Genomic DNA, 13652 nt, shown 5'->3' on the forward strand with positions numbered 1-13652 from the left:
CACTGCATTCCAGCCTGCGCGACGGGAGCAAGACTCCATCTCAAAAAAAAAAAGACACTGAAATCCACCAAGTTTTTTCCAGATGAGGACTCCTTGGTAGCAGAAGTGGGGGCATGGCTGGTGGTTGCCACCCTGGTTGGACGCCCCTCCTCCACGAGGGAAGCCAGGGCCTTGCCAGTGTCCAGAGGAGCCGACATCACCTCCACAGTCGGCTCTGTGGGCTCAATTGATGCCATCAGGAACGCGGGCCAAGTTTTGATGGGCTGTTTCCTGCCTCCCTACCCTGCTGGACCGGAATTTCTGACTGGGAATAGTCATTCCTGCCTCCCAGGGCTGTTTGGAGGAGCGATGAAAGAACGAGTGAAAAAGCACTGCCTAAGCCCTCAGATCCCACACCCCCAAATCCTACACCAAGCCCACACCCGTCTCCTCCTCCTCCCGGGGCTCCTCCACCCGGGGCTCCTCCTCCCACGCTCCTCCACCAGGGGCTCCTCCACCTGGCGCTCCTCCACCCAGGGCTCCTCCTCCCGGGGCTCCTCCTCCCACGCTCCTCCACCAGGGGCTCCCCCTCTCGGTGCTCCTCCTCCCGGGGCTCCTCCTCCCAGGGCTCCTCCTGGGGGCTCCTCCTCCCAGGGCTCCTCCTCCCGGGGCTCCTCCACCTTAGCTCCTCCACCCAGGGATCCTCCTCCTCCCGGGGGCTCCTCCTCCTGGGGCTCCTCCACCGGGGGAAATTCTTCCTCCCGGGGGCTCCTCCTCCCAGGGCTCCTCCACCTGGCACTCCTCCTCCTGGGGGCTCCTCCTCCCGGGGGCTCCTCCACCTGGCACTCCTCCACCCAGGGCTCCTCCTCCCGGGGCTCCTCCTCCCAGGGCAGTGTCAGGCAGGGCTTCACATTGCAGTGTGAACTCTGACATCCCAAGCAGCATTCCTTCCATCCAAGATTCTTCTAAGAAAAGGCTGCCAGCCAAGAAGGTGCCTTGGGAAGAATACAGGTTGGGAGTGCAGCCCGGGAGTCCGTCCCGCTCTGCCGCCTGCCCTGAGGAGCCTCAGTCTGCAGGTCTGCAGAGCGGGGATGTTCCCCGGGCCTGCCTGGCAGGGCGGCTGCAAACACGAAGGTTCGGAAGTGCACGAGCTCTCAGCACGGGGCCAGGCACAGCTGGGTGGTGTTAGGCTGCCAGGCTGGGATACCTTTGCAGAGGTTACTCCTCCTGGCCCCAGGAGTTTGTGTTTTTCCCCTAAAGAAAGCAGAGCTAGAGGGAATGAGGGTGTCTCCAGTGTGCTGAGTGTCAGGGTGGGACCTTTCCCCATCTGGACATGGGGTTTCCTGGAGGTCAAAGCCAGAGCCTGGCAGGGAGTGGGCTCTGTTTGGGGAAAGGCAACGTATTTGTGTCCTGGGCCTGCCATAACTAATGACCATAAACCAGGTGGCTTATAACAGAATCTCATTCTCTCACAGTTCTGGAGGCTGAAAGTCTGAAATCAAGGTGTCCTGGGAGGCCAAGGTGGTTGGGTTGCTTGATCCCAGGAGTTCGAGACCAGCCTTGGCAACATAGAAAGACCCTGTCTCTACCAAAAATACAAACTAGTCAGGTGTGGTGGCGTGTGCCTGTAGTCCTAGCTACCAGGGAGGCTGTGGGAGGATCGCCTGAGCCCAGGAGGTCAAGGCTGCAGTGAGTCATGATCACACCACTGCACTTCAGCCTGGGTGACAGAGCAAGACCCTGTCTCAAAAAAAAAGTGTCAGCAGAGCCAAGAATCCTTCAGCTTCTGGTGACTCCAAGGGTGCCTTGGCTTGTGGGCCGCATCACTCCAGTCTCTGCTTCCATCCTCACACAGCCCTCTCCTCTGGGTCTCTGTATCTCTGTGACTTCACATTTCACATGGACTTTTTTTTTTTTTTTTTTTTTTTCTGAGGTGGAGTCTTGCTGTGTCACCTAGGCTGGAGTGCAGGCTCAGTGGCTCACTCGGCTCAGTGCAAGCTCTGTCTCTCAGGTTCACGCCATTCTCCTGCCTCAGCCTCCTACAAGTAGCTGGGACTACAGGCGCCTGCCACCACACTCGGCTATTTTTTTTTTTTTTTTTTTTGTATTTTTAGTAGAGACAGGGTTTCACCGTGTTAGCCAGTATGGTCTCGATGATACGCCCACCTCAGCCTCCCAAAGTGCTGAGATTACAGGCATGAGCCACTGCGCCCTGCCCACATGGCCTTCTTATAAGGACATCAGTCACTGGATTTAGGGCCCACTTACTCCAGTATGACCTCATCTCAATTTGATTACATCTGCAAACACCATCTGTCCGAATACTGTCACATTCATAGGTGCCAAGGGCTGGGACTTCAGTGTCTTTGGAGGACACAATTCAGCAGTTGAGCAGTCTGAATACCCAAGGACGGCCAAGAAGGGCCAGCACGTCATTGTCAGAACAGGAAGCTTCGAGGGACAGGCACCTGTGTGGTGCTGGCCCAGCCCATCCCCTGCCTCCACACTCTACTCATAATGTTGGTTAAAGAAAAGGTGACTGCTGGCCAGGTGTGGTGGCTCATGCCTGTAATCCCAGGACTTTGAGAAGCCAAGGCAGGTGGATCACTTGAGGTCAGAAGTTCGAGACCAGCCTGGCCAACATGGTGAAACCCCATCTCTACTAAAAATACAAAAATTATCCAGGTGTGGTGGTGCATGCCTCCCAGCTACACGGGAGGTTGAGGTAAGAGGATCACTTGAACCTGGGAGGTGGAGGTTGTAGTTAGCCGAGATCGTGCCACTGCACTCCAGCCTGGGCAATAGAGCAAGACTCCATCCATGCACGGACACTCTGTTCTGGGTCGCTGGCAGACACAGGCATGGTCCTCATTAGTGTAGGGAAGACACACTGAAGCCTGCCCTCCTGCCTGAGTTTGAATCCTGGCCCAGCCATGTGACCTAGGATAAGTCACCTAACCTTTCAGAGCCCCAACTAACCCACCTGTAAACTAGGATGATGGGAATAGCTGCCTGCCTTGGAGTGCTATGGAATTCAAGGGTGGATACCCCATGGCTGGCCCATAATAAGTGCTCACTAACCCCAGGAGGAACGTGGTCTTATCTCCCCACTCCAAGGACAGAGACTAAAGCTTGACAGGGAAGGTATTGCAGCTATCAACCTAAATGACAAGCAGTGGCCAGGTGCCGTGACTCACACCTGTAATCCTAGCACTTTGAGAGGCTGAGACGGGCTGATCACTTGAGGTCCGGAGTTCAAAACCAGCCTGGCCGACACGATGAAACCCCATCTCTACTAAAAATACAAAAATTAGCTAGGCGTGGTGGCAGGCACCTGTAATCCCAGCTACTCAGGGGACTGAGGCAAGAGAATCGCTTGAACCCAGGAGGCAGAGGTTGCAGTGAGCCAAGATCGTGCCAGTGCACTCCATCCTGGGTGACAGAGCAAGACTCTGTCTCAAAAAATAATAATAAAATAAGAAGGAGAGAGGGGCTGTCTACAAGAAAATCATATTTCTTCAGGAATCAGGCATTGCAATGGGAATTCGCATGCCATATTAAACTATGTGTTATGTTCAGGGACAAAGAAAGACAAAGGTTTTTAAAGGAAAAAGGAGGAGGATTACATAATTGTTTTGAGATAATTGTCCCTGGCTACAAGGATCAATAACAAGGGTGGCACCAGCCCGAGGTTGGACAGGCAGTTGCTGAGCAGATGTCCTCACAGAGGTATTTTTGGTGTGTGATTGCTATGGCCTTTGTGCAAGGTTGTGGTTTTTTAGAGCCTTTTGTGATCATTCTTGTTATCAGGCATTTTTATATAAGAAGCCTCTCTTCATGGCCTTTCCTGGCTCTATTTCTCAGGGGGTTTTGTTTGTTTGTTTTTTGTTTTTGTTTTTGTTTTGAGACAGAGTTTTGCTCCTGCCACCCAGGCTGGAGTGCAATGGCTCAGTCTGGGCTTACTGCAACCTCTACCTCCCGGGTTCAAGCAATTCTCTTGCCTCAGCCTCCTCAGTATCTGGGATTACAGATGCACACCAACATGCCCAGCTAATTTTTTTGTATTTTTAGTAGAGACAGGGTTTCACCATGTTGACTAGGCTGGTCTCGAACCCCTGACCTCAAGTGATCCACCCATCTCGGTCTCCCAAAGTGCGCCCAGCCTGTCAGGGTTTTTTTAAACACAAGTGATTCCATTTTGATTCTGACAACTTTTTTTTTTTTTTTTTTTTTTTTTGATACAGAGTCCCTCTCTGTCACCCAGGCTGGAGTGCAATGGCACAGTCACTGAAACCTCCACCTCCCAGGTTTAAGTGATTTTCCTGCCTCAGCCTCCTGAGTAGCTGGGATTACAGGCACACACCACCACACTTGGCTAATTTTTGTATTTTTAGTAGAGATGGGGTTTCACCATGTTGGCCAGGCTGGTCTGGAATTCCTGACCTCAGGTGATCCACCCGCCTCAGCCTCCCAAAGTGCTGGCATAACAGGCATGAGCCACCGCGTCCAGCCAATTCTGACAACTTTGACACAAAGGAGGTGGCAGAGCTGAGGGCAGACCCAGTTTGGGAGATTCCAAAACCTGTCTCTGCAATGCCATCCTCGAGCTTGGACAGTCACCTCCTTATACCACAGAGGCACCTATTGAGAGACTAGAATCAGGTTATAAAACACCTGCCCCAGAAGAGACTTTGGAAACCGATTGGTGTTCAAGACCTGGCTGACAGGTGGGAAGGTGGCTTGGAGAGAGAATCTTATGCAGGTGCATGTGTGACGTCTGGTGTATTAAGACCAGGGACCTGCTGGCCAGAGCCCCCTCCCCGGCCCCTAGAACTGAAATCCAGAACAAAAGGAGGGCACGTGTCTTGGGTGCACAGAACCAGACCACCAGGGTGGAGAAGGGCTCAGATGGAGTCCTGGTAGCTCAGCTGGTCAAGAGAAGACTTAAAGGAAGCGGTCCACCTTCAAACCTCAAGGCTGCTGTGGGACCAAGGAAGACATGAACTTACGTATTTATTTATTTATTTATTTATTTATTTATTTGAGATGCAGTCCTGCTCTGTCGCCCAGGCTAGAGTGCAGTGGCACGATCTTGGCTCACTGTAAACTCCGCTTCCAGGGTTCGAGCGATTCTCCTGCCTCAGCCTCCCTAGTAGCTGGGACTACAGGTGTGCACCACCATATCCGGCTAATTTTTGTATTTTTAGTAGAGACAGGGTTTCACCATGTTAGCCAGGGTAGTCTCCAACTCCTGACCTCAGGTGATCCACTGGCCTCAGCCTCCTAAAGTACTGGGATCACAGGCGTGAGCCACCACACCCGGCCAGGACATGAACATATCAGATGGCAGAGCTAGGAAGGGACGATGGGCTCACCTTCTGGTAGCAGGGACCATGTCTTTCTTGTTCCTTGCTGTGTTCCCCACACAGCCTCAGTTTCCCCAGTCGTGAAATGGGAATAATAACAGTTGATCCTGGCTCCAAGGCCACCAGGTCCGGTGGCCTGGTGCTTGGTGCCGGAGTCACCGCGAGTACCCTGGGCTCCCCCAGCGTGGTGGCCCTGACTCAGGAACCTCCTTCTGCCGTGCGACCACCCTGGCGGCGGTCACCAAGCCCTTGGCGTGCCCCTGTGACTGTGTGTGGATTTTTTCTGTGCCCTCACAGGGCAGTGGTGTCACCCTTCTCGCCCATCTCAGGGAAGGGATGGGACGGCCCGGATGGCAGAGACTGTGGGGACAGAGCCAGGCACTCCCCATGGCTTTCCGTGCCCAGCACGTTGCCAGGCCTCTTCCAGGGTGTCCGGGACTGACCAGGCTGCTCCTCAGGGGGCAGAAGGCACTTTTGGGTCGGCTTTGAGGGAACACCAGGCTTCGCCACCAGGGGGCGGACGTGCCCCTCCAGAGCAGGCAGTGCCTAGGAAAGCAGGCAGGGCGTGGGCAACTGAGGTCACCACCTGAGGGCCGTGCCCCGGGGAGAGTGGGCGAGATGGAGGCTGTCTCTCTCTCCCGCCCAGCCCGCAGGGCTCCAGCCTCAGCTCCCCCACTTGCTGACTCTGACCTCGGACATACGCCTCGGCCTCCCTGGGCCTCTGTTTGTCTGTCTGTAAAATGGGACTGGTCTCCCACTTGGCAGCCTTGTGGGGACGAGTCGGGGCAGTGTGTTTAGTGGCCGCCCCTGTATCATGCCTATAGTACCCCTCCCTGGGCCCCAAACTGGCCCCTTCAGGGGTATGCTGTCTCCTCCCTTTGGCTGGCCTGTGTCCCAGAGATCATGATGTCACTTGCAGTGCTGATGGACTAGAACTCAGAGTCCCGGGTTCATGAGCTGCCCTGACTTACTGGTCTGTTCCTGTCCCCTGGGTGTCCAGCCGGGGCTGAGCCAGGCTTAGGGATTGCAGGCCCTTCAGAAGGGTAGTTCTGAGGATATCAGGGTCCCCCTTGGTGACCAAGGGGATCCTCTACCAGCTGCCGACACCCCACTGGCCAGGGGGAGTTTGGAATGAGTTTGGGTCCTGGGGAGGAGAGGACGTGGTTGATGCCATCGGGCCTGGCACCTTCCTGGAGCAGGGGCCACTCTGGTGGCTTTGGGGATGTGTGAATGAGTCTGGAGCAGGGGTGGCTCTGGTGGCTTTGGGGTTGTGTGAATGAGTCTGGAGCAGAGGTGGCTCTGGTGGCTTTGGGGATGTGTGAATGAGTCTGGAGTGGGGGCCACTCTGGTGGCTTTGGGGATGTGTGACTGAGTCCCTTTGTCTCTCATTTCCTTAACAGAGGGACATTTCCCTTCCCTGGTCTCAGACACAAATGAGCCCTGCCCAGGGTACCCCGCCACAATACAATTGCTGGGTCCCCCAGCCCCCTCCTCAGACCCAGAAAGCCCCATAAGTGAGAGGAGGGCCCGGTGGGCACCTGGAGGCCTTGTGCCTGCTGGCAGGGGCAGTAGCCGGGTGGGAGCTGTCACGTGGGGCTCAGGCCCAGCAAGACTGTCACCTGATGCTTCAGGGCGGCCAGAATCCGGGTTTCTGTGTCAATCTCTCCGTTGTAAAATGTTGTAAGATGTTGGCCGCACGCAGTTTGGTTTATTTTCCTCCGACGCTGCAGGCCACACAGAGCACACTTAGGGGCTAGACTCCGCCCTTTGTCCCCCAGTTGCCCCCTGCTCTGAGGGTTTGTGACAGCTCTGTCCCCTTGTGGCCTCTGCCTGGGGTTTCTGGCCCCGGGGCAGCCCCGCAGCTGTGCCCTCTCTGCCTGTCACGGCCCAAACCCAGAGCACTAGCACCTTTGCTTGAGCCTCCACTGCCCTCCTGGCGCTGGGCTGTTGGGTGTAGACAGATTTTACACATCTGTGGCTGGGGCCAGGGAGAGGTTATAGCTAATTCCTTAACGCTGACTAGAGATGCCTTTTTTAAAGATCTCTTTAAAATTCCTCAGCCATCCCCACCTCCGGAATTTCTGGCTGGCCGCTTCTCCCAGATGCCTACAGCATTCCCAGCCCCCTGTTTCCCTCCTCCTGCCTCCCACCTCGGGCTGCCCATTTCTCTCTGATTTCTTATCCCAAGCAGTCAGGCCTCCCTCCCTCTCTGGAGCTGGCCCCTCCTGCCAGCCAGGCCCTGCCTGTGGTCAGCAAGCTTGGGACCAGGCTGTGCTGAGCCCACAAAGCCAGTCCTCTCCTGAGAGCCAGCCTCCGGCGTGGGAAACCATTTCATCCCATCCGGATCCCTGGCGGTTCTGCTTTGCTGCGTTTACACCAGTGGCCATGACGGAGATTCTCGCTCACATCTGTCCAGCCTGGGCACTTTTATGAGGCATTTTCACCAGTGGGGTCCAATGTAATCCCTTTATTCTTATGAGATAAATGTTCATCCATCCGTTAAACCAAATATCTATGAAGCACCCAGTCTGTGCTAGGCACGGGGACTGTAGCAGTGAACAAGTTGTTACGGTTCTTGCCCTCCTGGCTTATGGCATAGGATGGAAAAAAAGTCATCGGGTGACAACAGGACGCCCCCTGAGCCTAATTGAGAGTGAAGGCGGTCAGAGACAGGGGCAACTAACTTCTCTGAAAGACGTTCTAGGGCAGGGGAGGGACCCGCAGCTGGAGGGCAAGCAGGTCTCAAAGGCCCCTCCGAGGAGTCAAGGATCTGGGCTTTATCCTCTGTTTTCATTCTTTTCAGAGACAATTCAGTACATGCTTTAGTATTTTTATATGTTTTTTGTTGTTGTTTTTGTTTTTTTTTTTACAGCAGTAAGGTAGGAAATCCTTGTCTGGCCATGAAATTTGGTTTGGGATCTAAAAGATACAGTGTTCCCGTAAGTTTGAGAGCGTGGGCTAGGCACAGTAGTTCATGCCTGTAATCCTAACACTATGGGTGGCCAAAAGTGGGAGGACTCCTTGAGTCCAGAAGTTTGAGACCAGCCTGGGCAACATAGCAAGACCTTGTCTCTATTACAAAATTTTTTAAAAATTAGCCAGGGAGCCGGGCACAGTGGTTCATTCTTGTAATCCCAGCACTTTAGGAGGCCGAGGTGGGAGGATCACCTGAGGTCAGGAGTTTAAGACCAGCCTGGCCAACATGGTGAAACCCCATCTCTACTAATAAATAAAAAAATCAGCCAGGCGTGGTGGTAGGTGCCTATAATCTCAGCTACTCACTAGATTGAGGCAGGAGAATCACTTGAACCTGGGAGGCAGAGGTTAGCAGTGAGCCATGATTGCGCCATTGCACTCCACAGGCGACAAGAGCGAAACGCCATCACACACGCAAAAAATCAGCCAGGCATGGTGGCACATGCCTTGTAGTCCCAGCTATTCAGGAGGCTAACGTGGGAGGGTTGCTTGAACCCAGGAGGTAGAGGCTGCAGTGACCACAGTGGTGCCACTGCATTCAACCTGGGCCAAAAAGTGAGACTCTGTCTCAAAAAGAAAAGAAAACGTGTACAGCACTTGACAGTTAGTTTATAAAGCACCTGTTGCTGCCTGTGGGCCCCAAGCTGCCTGTGAGATGAACCGTTCCATCCCGCTTTACTGATGAGCAAGTTTGTCTGTTTATGTCTCTGTCTCCCAAAGACGATGGTATTTATGTCTGGAACACAGGAGGTACTCAGGAGACACTGGTTGATTTGCACTAAACAAAGACTCTTCATGAGGCTCTCTTACTTTTTATTTTATTTTATTATGATGATGATGATTTTTGAGACGGAGTTTTGCTGTTGTTGCCCAGGCTGGAGTGCAGTGGCGAGATCTCAGCTCTCTGCAACCTCTGCCTCCCAGGTTCAAGCGATTCTCCTGTCTCAGCCTCCTGAGTAGCTGGGATTACGGGCATGCACCACCACGCCCAGCTAATTTTGTATTTTTAATAGAGATGGGGTTTCTCCATGTTGGCCGGGCTGGTCTTGAACTCCTGACCTCAGGTGATCCTCCCACCTCGGCCTCCCAAAGTGCTGGGATTACAGGCATGAGCCATCACCTCTCTCTTACATTTTATATGGGGCCCTCCCAGCTCCTGGAGCTGTGGCTGTCACCCCCCATCTGATGGAGGGGTCAGGTGAGCCTTGTGGGAATCCCAGAAGCTGGGGACTGGGAAGGGCCCTGTTCAAGGGGCTGGACGCTCCCTGTGGTGAAGCCCAACTCTACCATTTGTTGATTGCACAATGTTGGCACAATGTTGGGCAAGTTATTTCACTCTGTGAGCCTCAATGTCCTCAACTGGAAAATGGGGAGAAGAATAATCTCTACCTCACGGAAGTAGTTCATGTTAGTTCATGTGAAATCAGACATCTAAAAGTGCTCTGCGAAGCAGGCAGGAAGCACCGGCTGTGCCCTGCCTTCACTGGGATCACTCTGCCCCCACCACAGGGACTTGGGAAACTGCTTGGTTTTACCATCCAAGAGACCTGGGGGTGGGAGATAAGGAGCAAACCCTCTACTTCTTCAAGCCCTCACTCCAGCAAATCCTCCAGGCAGCCAGGCAATGCTGAAGTCCCTGTCCAAGGGGGTCTAGGCTGAGCCCGGGTGGAGTGGGTTCTTGGGCCAAGGTGCCTGGAGGGGACTGAAGGCCTCTACCCAAAGTCCTCATGAGAACTGGGTGGGGGAGCCTGTGTTCAGGTGAGGGGTACGGAGGCACCTCTGTGGCACAGCCTTTGCGAGGAGGGCTGTGGAGGGAGACCTCCGGGGCCGGGGTCGAAGGACATCGTGTGGGCGCGACCGCAGTGCTGGGCGGGGGGCGGGCGCTTGGGCTTGGGCCCTGCGTCCTGTGCGTGTTGGTTTCCTGTGGGCACGTGGGGCCCTCGGAAGAGGGGAGGAGGGTGAGCACGTCCTCAGAGGGCAGACCCAGCGAGGCGTCGTGGCAGCTGCGGCCGCGGAGACGCCGGCTCCGCCTCTTGCACACGCCCCCTCGCCTGAGGCCCCGCCCCGCCCGCGATGCCCCCGCCCCCTTCCCCGCCCCGCCCCCCGGGGCGCCGAGACCCGCCCCTGGGCCCGCCCCCGGGTCCGCCCCCGGCCTCCGTTTGCGCCGGGTCTGTGCTGGCCGCGCGCCTGGCGCTCCACGCTGAGCCTCTCCGTGCAATGATTAACCCGGCGGGGCGGCCGGCGCGGGACCCGAGACGGAGGCGCGGGGCCGGGGCGGGACCCCGCAGGACCGCTCGGCTTCCTGCTCTCGCCGGAGTTTCCGCGTAGAGGGCGCATCGCCGGCCCGGGGCCCTTGGTGCGGCGTGGCGCAGGGCGCGGCGTGGGGCGCGCGTGGGCGCGGCGCAGGCGGCCCGGGTCACCATGAGGACTCTCCGCAGGTTGAAGTTCATGAGTTCGCCCAGCCTCAGTGACCTGGGCAAGAGAGAGCCGGCCGCCGCCGCGGACGAGCGGGGCACGCAGCAGCGCCGGGCCTGCGCCAACGCCACCTGGAACAGGTAAGGCCGCGCCCTCCCGGCCACCCGGAGGCCCTGGAGCCGGGGGAGGGGACCCCTGAGCCGTCCGCGGGCTAGGGGCCGCCCCGAGCCAGGAACGCTGCCGAAGGCGGCGCGGCGCTTCACAGTTTGCAAAGAACTTGCCCCGCCGGAGTGGTGCGGGCCTGGAGGAAAGTTCAGTGCAGCGTGGTTCCAGAACCCAGGGAAGGGAGCGAGGCCCGCCAGCGCCCGGGGCTGGCCCAGAAGCGCCCGGCGGGTGGGCGGCGGGGTGGGCCGGGAAGCCGCGTGCCCGCCTCCTACCCGGGGTCTTTCCACGTCTCCACTGCGGTGCTCGTGACAACCTGGGAGGCTAACGGAGCAGGAAGTATTTTTCCCATTTTGCGGCTGAGCACGGGAGCCTCGGGGCTCAGTGGGTGGGTCGCGCAGGCTTCCTGTGTCTCTTTAAGCTCCCTTCGGCTTTCCCTTGAGAGGCCCCCTGTCCTCCAGCTGTCAGCAGGGGGTGCGGCAGCTGCGAGGCATTCTTTAGAGGACTCTCCTCCAGGGGTCATTCCCAGACAAGCAGGGGCCTGGGAAGCCCCTTCTCCCAGCTTTGTTTGAGGAGCAAGTCCGGGATCTGGAAAAGAGACGGTTTATTTAGTGGAACTCCCCAGCGTCTCTGCTCCCTAGGAAAATGAGAGGCAGGAGAAAGTGAGGCAGGCTGTTCGCGGGAGGCAGTGGACACTGTTCGGGGGAGGCTGTGGACACTGTTCGGGGGAGGCTGTGGACGTTGCCCCTCTCGCGCCCACACCTGGCAGTAAAATCTTGCCAGATGCTCCACCGGCTGTGGTCTTGGCCACCGGGAACCCGGCTGTCACTTGGACACACGTTATTTTCAGTTCATTGAATGCATTGTGAGCGTCATGGTGGGCTCAGGGCTGCCAGCGAGACCCTCTTCAAACGTGGTCTCTTCTGTCTCTGAGTTGCAAACTGCTAGAGGGCTGTCACATGCCTGCCTCCGTTTCCCTCTCCGTCAGTGGGTATTCGCATTCCTCCCTGTGGGGAGGGCTGGTGTGGGAACAGTGAAGGAAGGACTCCTGTTGGGAAATCTCCCTGACCCAACGACTGCACAGTGTCTTAAGAGCTGTGTTCTCCACCAGGCACGGCGGCTCACACCTGTAATCCTAGCACTTTGGGAGGCCAAGATGGGAGGATTACTTGAGCCAGGGAAGTCGAGGCTGCCATGAGCCATGATGCCACCACTGCACTCCAGCCTCGGTGACAGAGCAAGACCCTATCTCAAAAAAAAAGAAGAGCAGTGTTCTCCTCCAGTATTGAGATGAAAGCCATCTCTCTGTCCTTGAATCTCTGCCGTGATTTAGAGGAAAGAGTTAAATAGACTTATTTCAAATCCCAACTCTGCCTCTTCCCTACTCTGTGGTCTTGAGCAAGTCAGGTCCTCAATTTCCTTATCCATAAAACGGGCAGATAACAGTGCCCACCTCATGGGGCTGTTGTAGGGATGAAATTTGAACATGCAAAATAAAGCCCTCAACACAGTGCTTAGCACATAGTAAGTCCTCTGTACCTCACAGCTCAACCCCAGACTCACGCAGTGGACCAGTGTCGGGGTGTCCCTGTAGGGATGGCATTTGGAGGGCTCCACAGGAATCAGTCAGTTCCTGAGCACCCACTGACAGCCACTTGGTGAGCTCCCTCCCACCCCCGAGGTGGGGCGTCCTGCTGCGGGTCCCCAGACAGGTGGGGGCACTGGCTGGTTGCTGGCTTAGACACTGCCCTCACCCAACCTTGGGTGACCCTGGAGTGGGCTCTGAGTCTCAAGTGTCTTCTCAGAGTTCAGGGAGGCCTCAGGGGGACTCTGCCTGAGCAACCCCCGCCCCACCAGATTTCACTCAGCAGCCTGGCAGATTGCAGAGAAATGCCAGCCCCTCCCCGCGGCACCTGCAGGGCTCCAGGTCTCCCAGCCCTTAGGCCTACATCAGCTCCCACCACCCCAGGCAGCAGGGGCACGGCCATTTCCTGCACTCCTCTTATGTGCCAGGCCCCAGGCCAGCCCCGTTCACTGCCCTTAACTGACTTTGCCACTCTCCTAGCCCAGCGAGGTATTACCAGCACCCCCCACCGAGAGATGCAGAAGGGCAGAGAGAGCACCCAGGAGACATGCCCAGCTCATCCATCACCTGCACAGGATGCAGCAGAGCCTGCGCCCCAGCTCTCCTCCCCAGCAGATGTGGGAGATGGAGCCAAGAGAAGGCAAACTGGCTTCACCAGCCAAGTCCCTGAGTGGAAACTGCAGGGAGCAGGGCACCCCTTCTGGTCCCTGTCTGCATGCTCCTGCTCCTAGCGGTGCTCCCTGCCAGGGCCCCCTAGGACAACAGATCTGTGCAGGGTCGGGGACAGGCGTGTCATTCTGCAGGGCCTGGCCGTGTACTCCTCATTATGAGTCCAAGACACACCCCCTTTTATCTGTGTGACTGTATTAGCTTCCCAGAGCTGCTGTAACAAAGACCACAAACTCGGTGGCCTAAAACAGCAGAAATTTGTTCCCTCACAGTTCTGGAGCCAGAAGCTTGAAGTCCAGGTGTCGCTCCCACCAGAGGCTCTAGGGGAGGAGCTTCTTGAAGCTTCTGGTGGCTCTTTGGCTTGTGGCTGCATCACTCCAATATGTACCTCCCCATGGCTTTCATTTCCACGTCCAAATCTCCCTCTCCTTTCTCTCTCTCTATTTTTTTTCCTTTCTTGAGACGGAGTTTCACTCTTGTCCAGGCTGGAGTGCAATGGT

At 56.3% G+C, this 13652-nt stretch overlaps 2 protein-coding genes across 7 annotated transcripts in view, besides 2 other annotated features; both read left to right on the forward strand.

The window, feature by feature from the left end:
- PRR5 (proline rich 5) overlaps window positions 1-13652 on the forward strand; it is a 68931-nt gene that overhangs the window by 22982 nt on the left and 32297 nt on the right. For 3 of the 6 annotated variants that reach the window (NM_001017528.3, NM_001198721.2, NM_015366.4), the window contains one exon: window positions 10760-10876. The exons of 2 other annotated variants lie outside the window; for them this stretch is intronic. In NM_001017528.3, the coding sequence (NP_001017528.1) occupies window positions 10770-10876 (107 nt within the window). In that variant the 5' untranslated portion in view covers window positions 10760-10769. Of the gene's footprint in view, window positions 1-10471; window positions 10877-13652 lie in introns of those variants that run through there. One more of the 6 variants, NM_181333.4, reaches the window with a different exon arrangement.
- Window positions 7557-8097: an enhancer, noted in NCBI's record as "H3K4me1 hESC enhancer chr22:45095169-45095709 (GRCh37/hg19 assembly coordinates)". NCBI's record gives its function as "activates a minimal SCP1, AML or CMV promoter by ChIP-STARR-seq in naive H9 embryonic stem cells {active_cell/tissue: H9 hESC(naive)}" and the evidence as "EXISTENCE:reporter gene assay evidence [ECO:0000049][PMID:30033119]".
- Window positions 10346-10755: a silencer, noted in NCBI's record as "silent region_13869". NCBI's record gives its function as "represses an Ori minimal core promoter by ATAC-STARR-seq in GM12878 lymphoblastoid cells {active_cell/tissue: GM12878}" and the evidence as "EXISTENCE:reporter gene assay evidence [ECO:0000049][PMID:35858748]".
- PRR5-ARHGAP8 (PRR5-ARHGAP8 readthrough) overlaps window positions 10472-13652 on the forward strand; it is a 160581-nt gene continuing 157400 nt past the window's right edge. Inside the window, exon 1 of the mRNA NM_181334.6 lies at window positions 10472-10876. Within this exon, the coding sequence (NP_851851.3) occupies window positions 10743-10876 (134 nt within the window). The 5' untranslated portion in view covers window positions 10472-10742. The remainder of the gene's footprint in view (window positions 10877-13652) is intronic.

Source organism: Homo sapiens, chromosome 22 (genome assembly GCF_000001405.40).
Source record: "Homo sapiens chromosome 22, GRCh38.p14 Primary Assembly".
Classification (NCBI taxonomy): domain Eukaryota; kingdom Metazoa; phylum Chordata; class Mammalia; order Primates; family Hominidae; genus Homo; species Homo sapiens.